A 21,206-nucleotide genomic window follows, 5' to 3' on the forward strand; every position below is an offset into this window, starting at 1 on the left:
AGAGCCAGAGAAACTGGATACTCAGTTGAAGAACACTATCATAGTTATCATAATTACTTATTGAGCAAAATTAAATAAAGTAGAAAGAATTTTCCTAGATTCTATTCAAGTCAGTTGAATTACAATTTCACAAATGAACAATGTATGAAGTGGCATCTCAAATAAGACTTTTACTAGGTTACACCAATACATTCAAAATAGTATTATTCAATATACAATCAACATAGGGAATATTGATACAATAATTGTTGTACTAAGTCTTTGGAACCGAGTGTGTATTTTACACTTAGAGCACAACTCAATTTGAGAGAGCCACATGTGGGTAGTGGGTACTACATTGAACCATAGAATATTAGAATGTTTTAGAAAATGAATATTCATAATTATCATTTTCTGCAGGTAATTAACAGTAATGCTAAAAGAAAGTGTGGAAGACAAGGAGGTTGTTCTTTTAACAAGGCATATCAGAAGCACAGGGAGATTTTTCAAAGTACATATTACCATGCACTCCCCAAACTTGAGGAAGAACCACTTGAGGGGCAGGAGTTGCTTAGGAGTAAGCATATTAATTTCTACCTTCTTCAACATCTAACATTTAAAAAAATTGCTGGTGCACAGTGTTGCATTTATTAATGGAAGGGTAAAGTATGCTTTAGGTGGTTGTGCAAAAATTCAAGAATGAATAACCTAGTATGAAAACTGAACTGAAAATGTGTAAATGTATATGAACCAAGAAATCCATAGGATTTAGTTGAAGAACACTATCATAGTTAAGAAAGCACAGGGAGAGAAGGGAATTTAGATACATATCAGACATTTTACTTGTATTACTTGATGGGGTCGGACATACATAGTACACAGAAAATCTTATGAAACCCTTGCTTTGCTCTTCCTCAACTATCTGGCTACCCCAATCCTCTTTTCCCCAGTCTCACTACCTAAAACTGAAATAAGCCCAGAAACACCAGTAGCTGAGCTTACATGGGTGCTCAAAAACTCCTAATTTCTCTTCATCTTTTTCATCTCTCCTTCCATAATCAATTCCTTCTTTCCTTCCTTCCTTTTCCTTTTCCTTTTCTTCTCTCTCTCTCTTTTTTTCTCTTTCTCTCTCATTATCTTAACATATCCTCCTGGTCAATCTTGGTAAACATGTAGATCCCAGCTGAGTAATGACATTATCTGATGCCCTTAATTCTCCATCTTTTGTTTCCTCAACTTCATTTATCAGTTCCAAATCCCTCTTTTCTTCTTCTTCAGATAAAAATGTGAGTAATTCACGTTTGCCTGGAGGTATTTTCAGATACAGGTGAACTTTCGGCAAATGTTGTGTCTGGAAAATGGATAACTTTCAGATGAAAGAGTGCATCACAATTGTCATTTAATCCTTTCCTCCTACCATTCGTGGGAGAATTTCCCTTCCCTCCACAGTATAATCTCTGAAATATGTAATGGATTAATGTCATAATGACTACAGCACTCCTCATTGTGGACCATGCAGGTTACCCAAGAGGCATATTAGAGACTTTTGTCTCCAACCTTCCCTGGCTCTGGCCAATCCTGATCAAGCTCAGGGATCCCCTTCACTCCATTTGCTTGCGTCTTTCTTACTGAAGAGAAATGTAAAGAGAAGGAGCCATCCTAGCTTCACAATGCCTTATTTTTCTTGAATGTCAGATTAGTACACTGTTAGCTGATTTGACTCCCTGATGAAAAATTAAGTTTTGTTTTCTTAGCCTAAATCATATTCAGCAACAGTAAGAATTATTCATTCCTGAACTTACACTAACCATATTCAAGTTCAGCTGATGTAGTTCCTGGTTTCCCAATTGCGTCCTAAAACCCCAGGGATATGTCGTGACTATTTTATTTAACAAAAATATAAAGGCAGAGGGCTTTTCACTCTGTTGCTGATGTTGTCTATAAATTGGTCACATCATTTTCAGACTCCAATTATGTTTCCCTGAGCTTTCTCTAGTATAGCCACACAGGCCTGCAACGAGATCAGCCTTTATGCCTCAGATTCCAAAGCAGCCCTTAATGTGGAGTCTTGCACATTTGTAGATAGTTCAGTTCCTCATGCTTCTGTGCGGCTTTCTGCTCTGTAAATGACATTGTCCTTTACCATGAACTTTTCTGTTTTTTAGACTTTTAAAAATGCAGTTTTAGGTTTATAGCAAAATTGAAAGGAAGATACAAACATGTCCTATATAATATCTGCCCTCACACAAACATAGCATCCCCCATCATCACTATCCCCACCAAAGTGGTTCATTTGTTACAACTGATGAACATACCTTGACATACCATTATCACTGAAAATCAATAGTTTGTATTAGGGTTCACTCTGATATTCTATATTCTGTAGGTTTGGACAAATGTATAATGACATGTATCCACCATCATAGCAATATGGACTGGAGGCAGGGAAATGCTAAGTAAAAGAGGGTGGACCCTAGGAAGGCCCCACCCTCAAGCTTGGAACTGCAACCCAAAGTGAGAATTTCACATCCTTGTTTTCCCTCTTAAATGTTGCCTTCTCCAAAAGCACCGTGGCCTGCCCTACTCCCAAGCCTGTACCCATAAAACCCCAGGCTCCACTGGCAGAAGAGCAGCAGAGAAGGAGAGAAGAGAAGCAGCCAGACATCAGAGAGAAGCAGCTTGACAACCGAGGGATGGCTTGATGGTGGGACTTTGGAGAAGAGCCTGGCTGGGGAGGGCCACACTCCAGGGGAAGACCACCTTCCTGCTCCATCCCCTCTCCAGCTCTGCTTCCCACTGAAAGTCACTTTCATCAGCAATAAAATCCTTTGTATTCACTACACTCCAATTCCTTCCTGTGACTTAAATCTTCCTGGAGGCCAAACAAGAGCTTGGGAGCCACAGGGGCAGACAGTTGAGCTGTTTAACATTTAAGCTGTCAACAGATGGCAAAGCTAAAACAGCACTGTAACACACCCCCTCTGAGGCTCCAGGGGTTGCAGGTACCCCCCTAGATGCTGCCGTGGAGCTGCACAGAGTTCTGCTCCTGCTGGCACCCAGAAGCACTAGTCCCAGCTCCTGCACCCGCTCAACTGCATTCTCCCCCTCCTGCCAGAGGTTAAGAACTGCAGGCTGAGTAAGCAAAAATTCGTGTTTCAGTATTAACATTCAAAGTAGTTTCACTGCCCTAAAAATCCTGTGTTCTGCCTGTTTATCTCTGCATGCACCCAGTCCCTGGGAAACACTGTTTTGTTTTTTGTTGTTGTCGGGTTTTTTTGTTTTTTTTTTTTTTTTTTTTTTTTACTGTTTCCACTTGCATTGTTTTGCCATGCCATGAACTTTTAAAATAAAAACATATAGAAATCAAAATTCCTTCATGAGGTAGCATTCCCTAGAAAATACATTTTCTTTTTTTTCTTTACTAAAAGTATCACTTTTGAATGAAAATACAATGTGTTGATATGGTTTTCATTTCTCTCCCCACCCCCCCAATCTCATGTGGAATTGTAATCCCCAGTGTTGGAGGAGCAGTCTGGTGGGAGGTGATTGGATCATGGGGTCGGATTTCCCCTTTCCTGTTCTTGTGATAGTGAGTGAGTTCTCACAAGATCTGGTTGTTTAAAGGCATGTAGCAACTCCCCCTTCACTGTTGCTTCCTTCTGCTTTGGCCATGTAAGACGTGCCTCCTTCCTCTTCACCCTCTGCCATGATTTACCTAGGCCTCCTCAGCCATGTTTCCTGTATAGCCTGCAGAACTGTAAGCCAATTAAACCTCTTTTTTTTTTTTTTTAGAAATTACCCAGTGTCATGTAGTTCTTTACAGAAACGTGATAATGAACTAACACAAATGTCTTGTTAAGACTTTTAAAAAATTATAAACCATTAATAAATGAAGAGAAAAACTTTATTTATTGGAAGGATCCTTTGTATTTATTTTATTTCAAATTGTATTTTAGGTTCAGAGTTACATGTTCAGGTTTGTTACATAGGCAAATTGTATGTCTCGGGGGCTTGGTGTAGATTGTTTCATTACTCAGGTAATAAGCATAGTGTCTCATAGGTAGTTTTTCAATCCTCCTCCCACCCTGCACCCTCAAGTAGGCCCTGGTGTTTGTTGTTCCCTTCTTTGTTTCCATATGTACTCAATGTTTAGCTCCCACTTATAAATGAGAAATGTTGTATTTGTTTTTCTGTTCCTACGTTAGTTTGCATATAACCAGCTCCATCCATATTGTGGCAAATATCATGATCTCATTCTTTTTTATGGCTGCATAGTATTCCATGGTGTATATATACATTTTCTTTATCTGGTATACCATTGATGGGCATTTAGGCTGATTCCATGTCTTTGCTAATCAAAACTCATTTCTCCCATTCTTTCTTCGGAGCATTTTCTCTTATTCTTTGGCATGCCTCAAGCTCACCACACTCCTTGCTCTACTCAGCCCTCTGGGAAATATGATGTAAGTTTTCTTTTATCCATGTTTTTCTCATAAGAAACATTCCATGGGCCTGTTATCTTCTCCATCACTTATCCGTCTACTTTGGACCTTAAGGTGGTAGTAATGAAACAAAGCATGTGGAAATAAAACTAATTTTCTTCTCACCTCTATGCATAAAACCTGTTGTTATACCCAAAGCCAGCAAAGTTGATTTGAGCAATTTTCAAACTCCCTAATGAAGATTGGGACATGTTTCCACAGTAAGAAGAAGGAACAGGATGGGATTGAAGTCTTTGTACTTCTTTAGAGATGTGCATCTATTATGGTTGGAATTGGATCCTGCAAAAATATATATGACTTTATATGTTAAAGTCATAACTCCAGGGCCTCAGAATGTGACCTTATTTGGAAATAGGGTAGTTGCAGATGTAATTAGTTAAGATGAGGTTATATGGAAGTAGGGTGGGCCACTAATCCAATAGAACTGGTGTCTCTATAAAAAAGAGGAAATTTAAACACAAACATACACAAGTAGAACATCATTTGAATGTGAAGGCAGATTCTAGGTGATATGTCTATTAGATTGGTGCAAAAGTAATTGCAGTTTTTGCCATTAAAAGTAATTGCAAAAACTGCAATTGCTTTTGCACCAACCTAATACAAACAAGTCAAGGAATAGCAAAGATTGCCAACAGACCACTAGACACTAGGAGAGGGGCATAAATAATGTTCTCTTTCATAGACCTCAGAAGGAACCAATCCTGTTGACACTTTTATCTTGGACCTCTGGCCTCTATAAGTTTCTGTTGTTTAAGCCATCCAGTTTGTGGTACTTTTTTACAGAAACCCATGCAAATGAGCTCCATGGACGCCAGGCTTTAAAAGATAAGTAGCACTCAAATATATTTTTTTTGTTAATTTGTGTTTTTGTGTTTTCAATACTAATTAAACCATATATTGAAGCAACAAATAATTGGAAAATAAATTTATATAGAAAGGAACTTAATTTTAGGAACCAGAAATTTGAAGATATGCTTATCAGGGTGGGGGTCTGATAATAATTGTTTTCAGTCTGTAATTATCCATATAATTTAATGAAAAAATACAGAATGCCAAGTCACAGGAATTTTACTTATGTAGGTCTGTATCAGGGCCAGAAGAAATTGAGATTTTGGACAAGGATCCTGGTGATCTTGATAGAGATGCATTGTTAAAGTAAAAATCTCATTGGAAAGCCACATAGGTAAGGAAGACTATGTAAGGCTACTGTGATATAGGAGAGGAGCAAAATTCAGTCTGAATTAAGCTCTGTTGAAACAAAGGCCTGGAGAGTTTTTAAGAGCTGAGGTTGGAAGAACCTTAAGCCATCTGTGTTTGCTAGTTGGGCTTACTCAAGTGAAAGGTAAAGTTTCTTGTATCATCATGATAGGGGATAGTTTTACTATTTGGAGCTAGACTTGATATGAAGTTAGGCTTCAACTCTCCCCACAGAAACTGGAAGACAGAGGTACTATCTCCATTGATGATTATATTTCAAAGAGATGTCTCCTAGGTCCTTGGCTAAGACATTCATGGACTATAAAAGTCAATTGCTTAATTTGAAAACCCTTTCTCAAAGGGCCAGAGGAAAAAAATCTGTAGTCATCAGATTTCCAAAGTAAATATTTTAAGAAAAGGGAGGCCGGTCGTGGTGGGTCTTGCCTGTAATCCCACCACTTTGGGAGGCCTAGGTGGGCAGATCACCAGGTCAGGAGACAGAGACCATCCTGGCTAACACAGTGAAACCCCAACTCCACTAAAAATACAAAAAACTAGCCAGGCGTGGTGGCGGGCACCTGTAGTCCCAGCTACTTGGGAGGCTGAGGCAGGAGAATGGCGTGAAACCAGGAGGCAGAGCTTGCAGTGGGCCAAGATCGCGCCACTGCACTCCAGCCTCCAGCCTGGGTGACAGAGCAAGCCTGTCAAAAAAAAAAAAAAAAAAAAAGAGAGAGAAGAGGGGCCTCTCTGATTTTAAATTCTCTAAAATCTAGAATTTAGACCATCTAGATTCTATAAAGGCAAGAGTGAGAGGAAGTCCAGAAATCTAGAAGCAGCAAGAAGTCCGTGTAATATTTAGTCAAGCTAAGGGAAAGATTAAGGCCATCTGGGTCAGACCCAAGTTTGAGAAATGCCCTTTACTATAGGTAGTATTTTATTTATTTTATTTTTTTTCCTCCTTCTCCTCTTCCTTTTCCTCCTTTTCCTCTTCCTTTTCCTCCTCTTCCTCCTTCCTCTTCTTTTTCTTCTTTTTCTCTTGGAATATAATAAAAGGATCATGAGTCATAATGAAAATGAATAAAATAAAATCACTTTTTAAAGATGCTACCCTATCAATTTTAACTTTTAGAGTCTAAAATTTATCATAAGACTTCAAAAAATTAGCTAGGTTTTTTTTGTTGAAAACAAATGCATAATATAGTCCAGAAACATTTTAAAATGTGGGAATCATACATGTGTAAAATTTGCATGCTATTTTTATTAAAGCAAAATATTGAGAGATCATGATGTTAACAACATGAATTAACAAGCATGAAAAAAGTATAGAAAAAGTATCTATTTAAAAAGCACACTTCATTCCTGTGCGGTGAAAAGAAAATAATTCAAAAAAAGGCATTAGCTTGCCTTAATTAAAATGAAATAAACCAATCTAGGATTATTAATATGGAACCAATGCAGTTGTTGAAATATAACTGAGTAAAATAAGCATTTATTTGGAGGATAATATAAGGTGTATATGAATGCAGAAGTATGAGATAAGTTAACAGAACACTAAATAATCAAGGAAGTAGGCAGAAAACTGAAATGAGAATGTTATTTTAGAAAGAGGGCAGAAAAAATCTGTAATGAAGAGCATCAGTGAAGGAGGACATACAGGATCTTAAACTGATAGAACAACGGTTGAGTAGATATTAGGGAGAGAGGAAAGTTAGGGAAGTCAATGTTTCAAGCCTGTGCAACGGGATAAATTTTGCTAAGTTTCCAGAGAAGAATCATTTTTATGAGATAATATTTCACTTCATATTTTACATGAACAGTTGGGTTTGAGTTGCAAATTTTCTGCCTAACAGCAAGTAATAATTATGCCTTATAAGCCAAAGGTCATGTAAAACACAAATACAGAAGACATTTTCTATGTCTACCTATTAAGAATTAGAAGAATGGACTTATTTAAAAGAGATGATGACAAAATACAAGTTAAAATAAGACAATATAAGATTTCAAATTGTTAGGAGAATATAAGAAAGAGAATGTCATCGGGTGGTAAAATTTTAAGGTACATGATATTTTAAAAAGTTAATAAAGAGTTAAGTAAAAGAAATAATCACAGAAAAAATAAAACACCTTAAATGGTGCTTAAAGGTTTAAGAGAGAATCTTTGGCAAACCATTACAAATGCTTTGGCTTTCTCAATGACACCATATGGAGATGATAATCATAGTGAAATACTAAGACTCAGGTGACCTTCATGAAATTCTTCTTCAGCAGATACGAACATATACCAAAGTTAGATCCATTTTGGTTATTTGGTGGAATGGATATTTCACCTAATGAAGCTGGAATATTTCCATATGTGTTCCATATTTTAGAGCTTTCTTGAAGAAAAACAATGATTATAAATGTTAAAATTCCCTTAGAATGGTCACTTGAAAACAAAATGTAGTTTTTTAAGACTGGTGTCAAATTAATTTCACCAGATTTGCTCTGCACAGTAAGAGCTGCACTGTTACAATATTTCAAGTTAAAAATTACTCTCAAAGTTTTCTCAAGTTCAACTTTAATATATTTAATGTATTTGAAATGTTTAGTTTCATTTATACTTTAATATTGGAATTAAATTAAAATTTTGAAGCTCATATTAATCATTTAAATGAGAAAAATACTGAAGGACACATTCATTTAAAAAATATTTTAACTTACCACTAACTTGTTATTCATTATTAGCTCTATGTCTCCATTATTAAGATACAAGTCAGAATACTGTGAAATCAACTTGACAAATCTGGAAAATGTTTAGTCTGAAAGGCTGAAATTTTCTAGGTCATAGCTCTTCATATGAGATTAAAACATCTTATAAGTATCAGGAAATTCTGCTATTTCACAGACATGCAATTCAAGATTAAATGTACCTTTAAGGTACATTCACTCTGAAAAATGGTTTGGCAGTTTCTTATAAAGTTACACACTTACTATAAAATCCAGTAATTCCACTCTTAGGTATTTACCAAAGATAAATGAAGCTTATCATAAAACAAAAATCTTTACACAAAGTTTATAGTGGCTTATTCATTATTGTCTAAACCAAAAAAAAAAACTTCCATGGGTGAACAAATAAACAAATTGTGATATATCCATACTTAGCAAAGAAAAGCAGCAAAATACTGAAACATATAATAGCTATGATAAATCTCAAATATATTACGCTAAGTGAAATAGCCAGATTCAAAAGGTTACATCCTAGATGATGTATTACTCTGTTCTCACACTGCTATAAAGACATACCTGAGGCAGGGTAATTTATGGAGAAAAGATATTTGTTTGACTTACAGCTCCACAGACTGTTCAAGAGGCATAGCTGAGGAAGCCTCAGGAAACTTACAATCATGGTGGAAGGCAAAGCAGAAGCAGACATGTGTCCATAGCAGGAGCCGGAAGAAGAGACATAAGGGGAAGGTGACACATGCTTTACAACAACCAGATCTCATGAGAACTCTATCACAAGAACAGCAAGGGGGAAATCCGCCCCCGTGATCCAATCACCTCCCACCAGGCCCCTCTTCCAATACTGAAAATTACAACTCAGCATGAGATTAGGATGGGGACACAGAGCCAAACTATATTCTAACCCCGGCCCCTCCCAAGTCTCATGTCCTCACATTTCAAAACACAATCATGCCTTCCCAACAATCATTCAAAGTCTTAACTCACTCCAGCATTAACTCAAAAGTCTGAGTCCAAAGTCTCATCTGAGACAAGTCAAGTTCCTTCCATCTACGAGCCTGTAAAGTCAAAAACAAGTTAGTTACTTACAACATACAATGAAGGTACAGGCATTGGATAAATGCTCCCATTCCAAAAGGGAGAAATTGGCCAAAACAAAGGGGCTACAGGCCCCATGCAAGTCTGAAACCCAGCAGGGCAGTCAAATATCTTAAAGCTCCAAAATAATCTCCTTGGACACCATTTCTAATATCCAGGCCATGTTCATGCAAGGGGTGCACTCCCAAGACCTTGGGCAGCTCCACTTCTGTGGCTCTGCAGGGTACAGACACCACAGCTGCTTTCATGGGCTGGCATTGAGTGCCTGTGGCTTTTCCAGGTGCACAGTGCAAGCTGTCAGTGGATCTACCATTCTGGGGTCTGGAGGACAGTGGCCCTTTTTTCATAGCCCTACTAGGTAGTGCCCTAGTGCGAACTCTGTGTGGGAGTTCCAGCTCCACATTTCTCTTAGTAGAGGTTCTCCATGAGGGGTCTGCCCCTGCAACAGACTTCTGCCTGGACATCCAGGAATTTCCATACATCCTTTGAAATCTATGCAGGTGTTTCCAAGCCTCAACTCTTGCCCTCTGCACACACACAGGCTTAACACCACATGGAAACATTGGAGGATGCTGACTTGCATCCTCTGGAGCAGTGGCCTGAGCTGTACCTTGGCCCCTTTTAGTTATGACTAAAGCTGGAGCAGATGGGATGCAGGGTGCCATGTCCTGAGGCTGCACAGAGAAGTGGGACCCTGGGCCTGGCCCATGAAACCATTTTTCCCTCATAGGCCTCCAGGCCTTGATAGGAGGGGCTGCCACAAAGGTCTCTGAAATGCTTTGGAGGCATTTTCTCCATTTTCTTGGCTACTAACATTCGGTTCCTCTTTACTTATGCAAATTTCTACAGCCAGCTTACATTTCTTCGAAGAAAATTGTTTTTTTCTTTTCAACCACATGGTCAGGCTACCAGTTTTCCAAAGTTTCATGCTCTGATTCCCTTTTAAATATAAGTTCCAGTTTCTTAGTTTGTGCATATGAGCATATGGTATTAGAAGCAGCCGGCTCATATCTTGAATGCTTTGCTCCTTAGAAATTTCTTCTTCCAGATACCCTAAAACATCGCTGTCAAGTTCCAAGTTCCACAGGTTTCTAGAATAGGGACACAACGCCTCCAATCTCTTTGCTAAAGCATTACAGTGAGCAAAATGTTTGACGATTACTCCCGTTCCCAATAATTTCCTCATGTCGATCTGAAACCACCTCAGCCTGGACTTTATTGTCCATATCACTATCAGCATTTTGTTCACAATCATTCAACAAGTCTCTAGGAAGTTCCAAATTTTCCTCATCTTATATCTTCTTCTGGGCTTTCCAAACTGTTCCAATCTCTTCTTGTTACCCCGTTTCAAAGCTTGTTCCACATTTTCACGTATCTTTATAGCAATGTTCCACTTTTTTGGTACCAATTTTCTGTATTAGTCCATTCTCTCACTGCTATAAATAACTATTTGAGACTGGGAAGTTTATAAAGAAAAGAGGTTTAATTTACTCATAGTTCCACTGACTATGCAGGAGGCATGGCTGGGGAGGCCTCAGGAAACATACAATCATCATAGATGGCAAAGAGGAAGCAAGCACATCTTCTCACGAAGATGGCAGAAGGAAGGAGCAGAAGGAAGAGAGAGAGCAGAGACCACACGCTTTACAACTAGCTCTCCTGAGACCTCTATCACAAGAACAGCAAGCAGAAATCTGCCTCCATTATCTAATCACATCTTACCTAGCCCCTTCTCCAACACTGGGACTTACAATTTTATATGAGATTTGGGTGGGGGCACAGAGCCAAACCATATCATATGACATTCTTAAAAAGGAAAAGCTGTAGAAACAGAAAACAGATCAAAAGAGAATAGTGATTGTCAGGTGTTAGAGGTGTGTGTAGGGTTGAAACACACAAATGCAAAGTGTGATATTTTGCAGTGATGAAAGAGTTGTGTATCTGTATTGTGGTGGTAGGTACAATACTAATTGAATTTTTAAAAACTTAGAGAACTGTACATCAAAGAGAAAGAATTTAACTGTATGCCATAAAAGAAAAAAACGTTTTTCTTTGAAATTATTTAATTGACAAAATCTTCTTATAAGAAAAAAGCTACACTTAAAATGTTTACATGATATATCAGAGAGTATATAAATTCCCTTCTGTTTTAACAAACTCAACTTAAAATGTTAGTGTATATTAAAATGTTCTCCTGGTTAGTATAGATTTTAAAACCAGTCAATACAAATTTGTGGTTACTATATCAAGAATAATTACTGTTTTTTAAATAACCATGGTGTGATACAGTAGAGAGCCAATAATTTATATTTTGAGAGAAATAAATGTATGTTTTAGTTCTGATATGTGGTTATTATATGAAATTTAAAGAATCACTTTGCCTTACTGAGATCTTAATATTTTTTCAAAAAGCATATTTTAAAAATTGACCCATTATTTATTTTAAGATGACCTACCAAAATTTATTAGGTGCTGTATTATGTTAATAAATAATATACATTTTACAGGAATCTCAGAAACTCTTTCTCTATTCCTTTCACCATGAGCAAAAAGTTTGACTTAAGAAAAGGGCAGCAAATTCAATGCAATAACTCCAGTGAAGCCACAGGTAGTGTGAAATGCTATAAAGGAGGAGGGAAATATAAATATTATACATATATAATATTATAAATATATAACATTTAATATATAGCATATATTAAAGGACTAGAATGTGGGCATTAATAGATATTTTAATAATTTCTCTTTAACTCTTAGAGACAACAGAAGCCATTGGAATAGAAGCATTTCATCATAGGAAGGACAATACTGACTGATTGATTGATTGTTTTGTCACACTAGTTGTCCTGTTAAGAATAAACTTTAGAGGGGCAAGGGCAAAAATCAGAAAGGCCAGTCAAGAGGCTATTGCAACAATTCCAGTGACAGATGGTGACTTGATCAGAAAGGCTTATTAACTGACCAATTACTGAGGGGAAGCTGGAGGGAATGGAGAATGGACAAGTTTTGAAACGGTCTGTATGGAGTAAGTGCATGATATTGGAAGGAAAGTCATTGACATGGAGAGAATAGAGTAATATAAGGGAAATAAAGACAGGAATTATCATTAAAATACTTGATGATTGCACATAGGCAATTTGCAAAAAGGAAGAGTAGGAATACAAAGAATACTAAGAGAAATGCAAATCAAAACCACAATGAGATACCATCTCACACCAGTTAGAATGGCGATCATTAAAAAGTCAGGAAACAACAGGTGCTGGAGAGGATGTGGAGAAATAGGAACACTGTTACACTGTTGGTGGCACGGTAAACTAGTTCAACCATTATGGAAGTCAGTGTGGCGATTCCTCAGGGATCTAGAACTAGAAATGCCATTTGAACCAGCCATCCCATTACTGGGTATATATCCAAAGGATTATAAAACATGCTGCTATAAGGACACATGCACACGTATGTTTATTGTGGCACTATTCACAATAGCAAAGACTTGGAACCAACCCAAATGTCCAACAATGATAGACTGGATTAAGAAAATGTGGCACTTGCAAGAACAAAAAACCAAACACCGCATATTCTCACTCATAGGTGGGAATTGAACAATGAGAACACATGGACACAGGAAGGGGAACATCACACTCTGGGGACTGCTGTGGGGTGGGTGGAGGGGGGAGGGATAGCATTGGGAGATATACCTAATGCTAGATGACGAGTTAGTGGGTGCAGTGCACCAGCATGGTACATGTATACATATGTAACTAACCTGCACATTGTGCACATGTACCCTAAAACTTAAAGTATAATAATGATAAATTTTAAAAAAATGTTAAAAAAATGTAAAAAAAAAAAGAAAAGAAAATGTGGCACATATACACCATGGAATACTATGCAGCCATAAAAAATTATGAGTTCATGTCCTTTGCAGGGACATGGATGAAGCTGGAAACCATCATTCTTAGCAAACTATCGCAGGGACAAAAAACCAAATACCACATGTTCTTACTCATAGGTGGGAACTGAACAATGAGAACACATGGACACAGGAAGGGGAACATCACACACCAGGGCCTGTTGTGGGGTGGGGGGAGAGGGGAGAGATAGCATTAGGAGATATACCTAATGTTAAATGATGAGTTAATGGGTGCAGCACACCAACATGACACATGTATACATATGTAACAAACCTGCATGTTGTGCACACGTACCCTAAAACTTAAAGTATATTAAAAAAAGAATACTAAGAGAATACTTGCTAGAAGTGCCAAAAACAGGCAAAAATTGATTAATTAATTAATTTTTAAAAAATAAAAAAAAAAACATCTTCGGAGTGATTACCATTTTGGGAAATCTGCCTACCATCATTAAAATTGACAGACACCCATGGCCACTAACTTAGTTTAGTCAGGTCCAACTGTCAGAATGACATGACTCCTGTCAGTGTTGCCAGATTTGTGGGATATTGGGGCCAACATAAAATGGTTTTCAAGCTTATTCTGAGAATATAGAAAGTTACCAAATAAAAAGAGTAGCAAAGTTTGTTTTTCCCTGAAGATTTCATGAGTGAGTGTTACAAAAACTTTTGAATTCTTTGAAAATATACTAAATCATATTCTGTTCTGTTTGTGAACTGTTTTGAGCCTCTTGGGACCTGTAGGAATTGCTAACAAGCTCTTAAATGTCTCCATTGCACCATATCATTTTTAGAAAGACCAATTTGTCTCATCTTTGGGCAATGTGCTATACACAAAATATTTCTGTTTTATGTTTCTTTTCTAATTTGTCTCAGCATAGCCTGTGAACTATTGAAGTTCTTTGCCCTCCATCAGATAGAAATAAGAAAGCCAAGAAACTAAGTTTCTAACACAAAGTGCAAGGTTTTCCCATAAATTTTAAGTTCTTTTCTGATAAGACGTCTAGCGAGAAGTGAAGGCTATATACAGCTGTTTACTGTACAACTGTTACAGCTGTACATGATTAGTGTAGAAAATTAAAACGAGTAAAATTTTTGGTATTTGCAATATATTTTAATTGTATATAACTATGATATTATTGCTTCTATGATTTTTTTAAGATAGGGTCTCACTCTGTCTTCTAGGCGGCAGTGCAGTGGCACAGTCATGACTCACTATAGCCTTGACCTCTCAGGCTCAAGCCATCTTTCCAAATTAGCTGGCTAACTTTTAAAACTGGTTTATGGAAACAGAGTCTCACTATGTTGCCCAGGCCAGTTTGTAACTCCTGTGCTCAAGAATCCTCTTGCCTCAGATTCCAAAATGCTGGAATTCCAGGTGTGAGCCACTGTGCCTGGCCTACTTCTATCATTTTTCTTTCCCTTTTTAAATTAAACTCTTGGGTTAAAGGTAAAATACAATCCAAAAGTATTTTTTAATAAAAATCATGGATAATGGAGGTAGTCTATATCAGGACACCTGTAATACATTCAAGAATGTAGCCAGAAAAAGTTTTATAGCCTAAACCCTTTTATGAATAAAAATAAAAATTATAAGTGAATGAAATTTTCATGTTAAACAAGATGAGAAAAGAAAAACAGATAAAAAATAAAGGAAAGATAAAGCAAAAAATAATATTTGCTTTATCAATTTATCTAAATTGAGAAACAAATTATATAATTACTAAATAAAAATAATATTTTTTGGTAAAAAATTTTCAAGAGAGACCAATTACTAGCTACCTTAACCGAGGTATATGTATAATAAAGGACAAGGAGGAAGTAACCATTGACATGACATACAATGCATTTAAAAAATCCTACAATCTCTCTGCTATATATTTGAAAGATATAATGATAATTTCCTACAGAAATATAATTTGCCCAAATAGACCCTACTATATGTAAAAAATTTAAATAAGCTAATTTCTCTATTAGGAAAAGAAAAATTTATCACGACACTTCCTCAAAATCAATCTTATTAAGCCCAGATGATTTCAAGGAAGACTTGTATCAAAATTTCAAAGCCTGGATAGTCCCAATGATTTTGAAATTTTTTGCACCTTATAAAAAAGAAAATTTCAAAAAATTAAGGAAAATCTAATACTTTTTGTAAAGTAAGCATGGCATTTATACCTAAACCTAATACAGTTAGAAAAGAAAATTATGGACAAATATCAGTTATTAATACTGATTGAAATGTAAAAATATTAGTAACAGAATACAACACATCATTAAGAAACTGATACATTTTGATCAAGTGTGATTTATTCTGGGAATATGATGTTGATACAATATTAGGAAATCCATTGATATAAAAACCGCATGAATCTTCTGGTTTGATGATTTGCTAGGAGGACTCATAGTCTTATTCATGGCTATCATATACTACAGTAAAAGGATGCAAAGCATATAAGTAAAGGGAAATGTCATATGTGGCAATGTCCAGTGGAAACCAGCTATGAAAGTTTCTAGAAGTCCTTTCCCTGTGGAATCATATGGGCTCTGCTTAATTCCCTCAGCAACAACTTTTGACAACATATATGAAATGTTGTCCACCAGGGAAGCTCATTAGGGATTTAGTGCCTAGGATTTCTATTAGGGGATAGTCATAAGGCACCTTCTGCGTAGCACCTATCAAAATTCCAGACTCCTAGAAGGAAAGAAAAATGTTAGCATAAACCGCATTGTTTGTACAAGCAGTTTAGGCACAGTGAGCCATTCTTATCCATCAGAGTGATGGTAATCCTTCCAAAATCTAAGTTCTCAGCACCGGCCAAGCCTAATCTTTTAAACAGGCCTTTTGAAGGATAGAAATCAGGTCTGCTATGTGTTAACTCTTTCTGCACACCATATTCATACATCTAAAAGTAAAAATCAGCTATTTTTCCTCTATAGAAGATGGAAAGTCCTTTGCAAAATGTATAATTTATTCCTGAGAGATGAAAAAAAGTACAAAATTGGTCATTGATGTTTACTTTCTTAACATGATATGGGAATTTTATATAATCTTAGTCCTAGAATCAGTATTTTACTTAATTCAGAAACACTACTTGTATTTCCTAAGATTTTAAAGAATGTATTGCACTCTTCTTACTAATGTTCAACTTAATAGTAGAGGTTAGCCAATTCCATTAGACATAATGAATCATTTAGAGACATAAGAATCAGAAACAAAAAGCAAACCTATTTACATGTGCAGATGATAAGGTTTTGTAACTAGAAAACCCTAGAGATTCAGTAATAAAACTAAATTAAAATAAAACAATTCAATAGAACAGCAAACATTAAAATAGAATATCTAATACATATACACAAGCAATAACAGGTAATATAATAACACATAAAATCAATATTCAACAATAACTATAAAATACTAAGAGATAAGTGTAAGAAGAAATGTGCAAAATCTACATGAAAAAAATTTAAAAGGCCTGAAAAATATAAAATTAAAATTATTAAAATGGGAAGAAGTCTTTTACTTTTGTGTAAAATGCTTAAACTTTATAGAATACAGCTTAGCTCCCTATAAGTTAATTTATAATATGACTGCAATCTCTGTAATATGTTAATAAGTTTCTTTACATAATTAGACAAGTTGATACTGAAATTATATGTAAAAATAACATACAAAATAAATATATAAAATATACAAAAGAAAGATAATAAACATATAAAAGTATACAAAATGTACAAAAATATACAAGTAAATATACAAAATTAACTTGGAAATACTAAAAAGAAAGTTGTAGTATAGGGGAAGAAATTAGCCTTACCCAATATTAAACATACTATATAAAACCTTACAATTAAAACTGTGCATTGGTGCATGCAGACATACAGTGAAATAGGATAAAGAAGTAATTATATAACAGAAATAAATGCAAGTAAAAAATAAACTTTAGTTTATGATAAAGGTAGAATCTTAAAACACTGAGATGATGAGGAGATTTGTAATGCATGGCTCTGGGATAAATCAATCAATCAGTTTGCCATTTTGAAAAAGATATAATTAAATCCCTTCTCACATTATATAAAATAATAATTAAAATAAATGTAGCATTTACTCTTTTAAAGAAATCAAAGCATTCCAGGATGAGAGAAAACAGAGATGAATTCCTATATAACCCTATGTAGGTAAAATTCTTCTAAGTCTGAATAAAATTTCAGAGGCAATGAAAAAAATTAGTGGAACATTTGACTACATCCCAAAAAAAAGAAAAAAGAAAAGAAAAAGAAAAACTTTGCAAAGCAAAAACACCATATAAGAACACCAAAATACAATTGAAAAACTGGGAGAAAATATTTGCAACATTATTTTTACAATAAAAGACTTTCTTAATTAATACAAATTGAGAGGAAAAGACTAAAAATTTCATAGAAACATAAGGGCAGAGATGTAAACTGACAACTCACAAAAATATGTCAAAAGCTCTTAGACATATGAACATTTAACTTTTCTTATTATAAGGGAAGTATAAATATAAACTGAGATATTATTTATTTTATGCCATTTTAGCCAAGTTTAGATAGAAAGATGAGAGAGAGAGAGAGAGAGAGAGGCTGATGGAGGAATTACAGCGCTCTGTGGTGAGGATATGTGGAAAATGCACTCCCATGAACTTTTGAGGAAATGCCAGTTTGCACATTCCTAAAGAAGGATATTTGGTTTTATCCAAAAAATCTACATAGTATATTACGGCTAAGCAATTTCACTTCCACAAATCTAAGTAAAAGATAGGATATCACAAATTTAAGCAGAAGATAGGATATATATATGTGTGTGTGTGTGTGTGTGTGTGTGTGTGTGTATGTGTATGCAACAATCATAATTTTCTTTTTTTTCTTTTTTTTTTTTTGGACAGAGTCTCACTCTGTCACCAGGCCAGAGTGCAGTGGTGAGGCTCACTGCAACCTCCGCCTCCCAGGTTCAAACGATTCTCCTGCCTCAGCCTCCCGAGTAGCTGGGACTACAGATGCGTGCCACCACACCCTGCTAATCTTTTGTATTTTTAGTAGAGACAGGGTTTCACCATGTTAGCCTGGATGATCTCGATTTCCTAACCTCGTGATCCCCACCTGCCTTGGCCTCCCAAAGTGCTGGGATTACAGGCATGAGCCCTCGTGTTTAAACTATTTAAAATATTATAGTTAAAATTAGCTAAATGTCAAAACAAGGGAGATTGACTAAATCAGAAATGTATACAGACACAAAAGAGTACTATGTAACTGTAAAAAAAAAGAGAAAATTTTCTTTAAGTTAATATAGTATGATTACATTATAATTGTATATATAATTTTTATATGTAGCAGGCTATTTTTAGGTAAAATAAAAGTATAAAAAACTATACTCTATGTGGTGTTTAAAAATGGGAGGAGATAATAAAACATTCTGGTGGCTCCTCTAAAATCAAAAGTGGGAATACTAAGCCAGAGAGCAGAGGTGGATGGGAACATAGTGAAAATAATAGAATGAAGGGGGTAACATGTCAGTTCTCTGAATATACATTATGGTATGCTTCTGATAATTGGAACCATGTAAATATTTCAGGTATGAGAGAGTGTGAGAGAACAAAAATAATCAATAATTATGGCAAAGGTACCATAAATAAAATTCAAACAGAAATAGATGAACCAAACTAAATTCAAATAAATAATATGATCACCCTGGAATAGCTAATGAACTAACCTAACTAAAGCATGAGGATTACATTTGGACTATATATCCTCAAGCTCAAAACAAACACACTTTTAAACAAATATTAAAGTCTAGTTAGTAAGATTTTTGCAGAATTTAGGTTAGCATTTCTGAAATTTTTTATTGCACATTCTAAGATTGAGCAAGCAATTAAATATAACATGAATAATTAGATCTTATTTCTCACTGTTACGGTCGTATTCTAACATTCTCTCTCTCTCTCTCTCTCTCTCTCTGATCTCATCTGTTTATTTGAATTCTGTTTGAACTTTTGGAATATTTTCTATTTATTTCATGGGATATTATTAGTTCTTTTATAGCATTGCATTTTTTATTATTTCTGTAAAATGTTATCTTTATTTGCCATTCCAAGTCTTGTCTTACAGAATCACATTTTTAAAATTAAGAAACTCTCATTTTTAAATTCCAGAAACAAAATTTATCTTTTGTTCATTCTGTTTCATCAACACAGCAATGATAATTCCTTCTGCCTGTCTTTCCTTTTATTTTTTAAAAAAATTACTTGATAAATAATAATTGTACTTGATGTTTTGATATATATTCATCATTTAATGATTATATCAAGCTAAGTAACATATCTAATCACCTATAATACTTATCATTTTTTGTAGTGAGGACATTTAAAATCTACTGTTTCAGTAATTTTGAAATATACAATATATTATTATTAAGTATTGTCAGCATTCTGTACAATAGATCTCAAAATCTTATTCCTCTTCCTTAAGTGAAATTTCTTACCTTTGATCAACACCTCCCATGCCCCTACCTGCCAGCCTCTGGTAACCACTATTCTGCTCTCTACTTTTATAAGGTCAACATTTTAAAGTTCACGTGTAAGGGAGATAATGAAGTAATTGTATTTCTTTTAAACTATTCTGGCCCCTTAACCCACTTGTGAGTTTATCTGAACTTGGTTTCAAAACATGTGAGATCACTTAACAGACAAGAAACTTAGTATATGAGTGTACTGAGATTAGCAGAGGGAAGAATGTAAAACAGAAAATAAGGAGATTACCATAATTCCTTTGACGAGTTGGGGCATCTCTTATGAAGAGTACCCAGTGGGGCCTCCATTCTCAAGGCTAGGCAGTAATGAACCTTCAGCAGCTCAGCACTACCAACTCTCTTTTCTGCTGCTGGAATCAATGAAATTATTTGATTTTTTCATTGTGCAACAAGTAGGCACAAGCATACTCTCTTTGCTTATTGAACTAGTTGGTATAGTTGAGAAATCAGGGGACTTGACAACTTCACTGTGAGTTCCATTGGAGAATTAAAACTATTTCCTGTGTGTGATGTTCCCCTTCCTGTCATATACCTAACTCCAAATGACGATTTGATGGGTGCAGCACACCAACATGGCACATGTATACATATGTAACAAACCTGCACGTTGTGCACACGTACCCTAAAACTTAAAGTATAATAAAAAAAAACAAAACTATTTCCGATTCACTGAGTCCAACTCCAATTTCACCAACCTCTCTTCCTCAGGCACCACAAACAAACGCATCTTACACTGCAAGCTTTTCTCAAGAACGTGAAGTTGTAGTTCCATACTGTTTTTTTCTGCAGATTCTCACAGTCGTCAATGATAATGCAAACAATAATGGATTCCTTTTAACAAGAAAAATAAAAGATTGAAACAAATTAAGCACAAAAATATGAAACATAAAAGTAGGAGAATGCAATTAATTCAACTAAACAGTAAAATTAATGGATTTTTAACTACTGAAAAGTGACCTGAATAGATAAATAAAATAGACAAATACCTAATAAGTACAGAATAAGTACAAAATAAAGAAATGACTGTCAGAAGAAGGGATATATAATCACAATAGAATAAAGACTAAAATATTTGGAAATTTAGAGAAAATGGGTAATATTCAAAAAATAATTAAAGTTAATTTTTTAAAATGTAGAACACCGAGACATATGGTAATGAGGGAATAATATCCTCCATCAGGAAGGTGTTTAGAAATGCCCATTAGTAATTAAGTCATAACTACCATATGATTCTTTTGAGAAATTTAGTTAAGTT

At 35.3% G+C, this 21,206-nt stretch overlaps 1 long non-coding RNA gene across 2 annotated transcripts in view; it reads right to left on the minus strand.

The window, feature by feature from the left end:
• Positions 1-20,776, minus strand: part of LOC124901816 (uncharacterized) — a 39,766-nt gene extending 18,990 nt beyond the window's left edge. Inside the window, exons 1-2 of one of the 2 annotated variants that reach the window (XR_007060647.1) lie at positions 20,647-20,776; positions 6,595-6,713 (exon numbers count right to left, since the gene is read on the minus strand). This is a non-coding gene — a long non-coding RNA (uncharacterized LOC124901816). Of the gene's footprint in view, positions 1-6,594; positions 6,714-20,646 lie in introns of those variants that run through there. The other variant, XR_007060648.1, reaches the window with a different exon arrangement.
• Between the last annotated feature and the right edge of the window lie 430 nt (positions 20,777-21,206).

Source organism: Homo sapiens, chromosome 7, assembly GCF_000001405.40.
Source record: "Homo sapiens chromosome 7, GRCh38.p14 Primary Assembly".
NCBI classification, from domain to species: domain Eukaryota; kingdom Metazoa; phylum Chordata; class Mammalia; order Primates; family Hominidae; genus Homo; species Homo sapiens.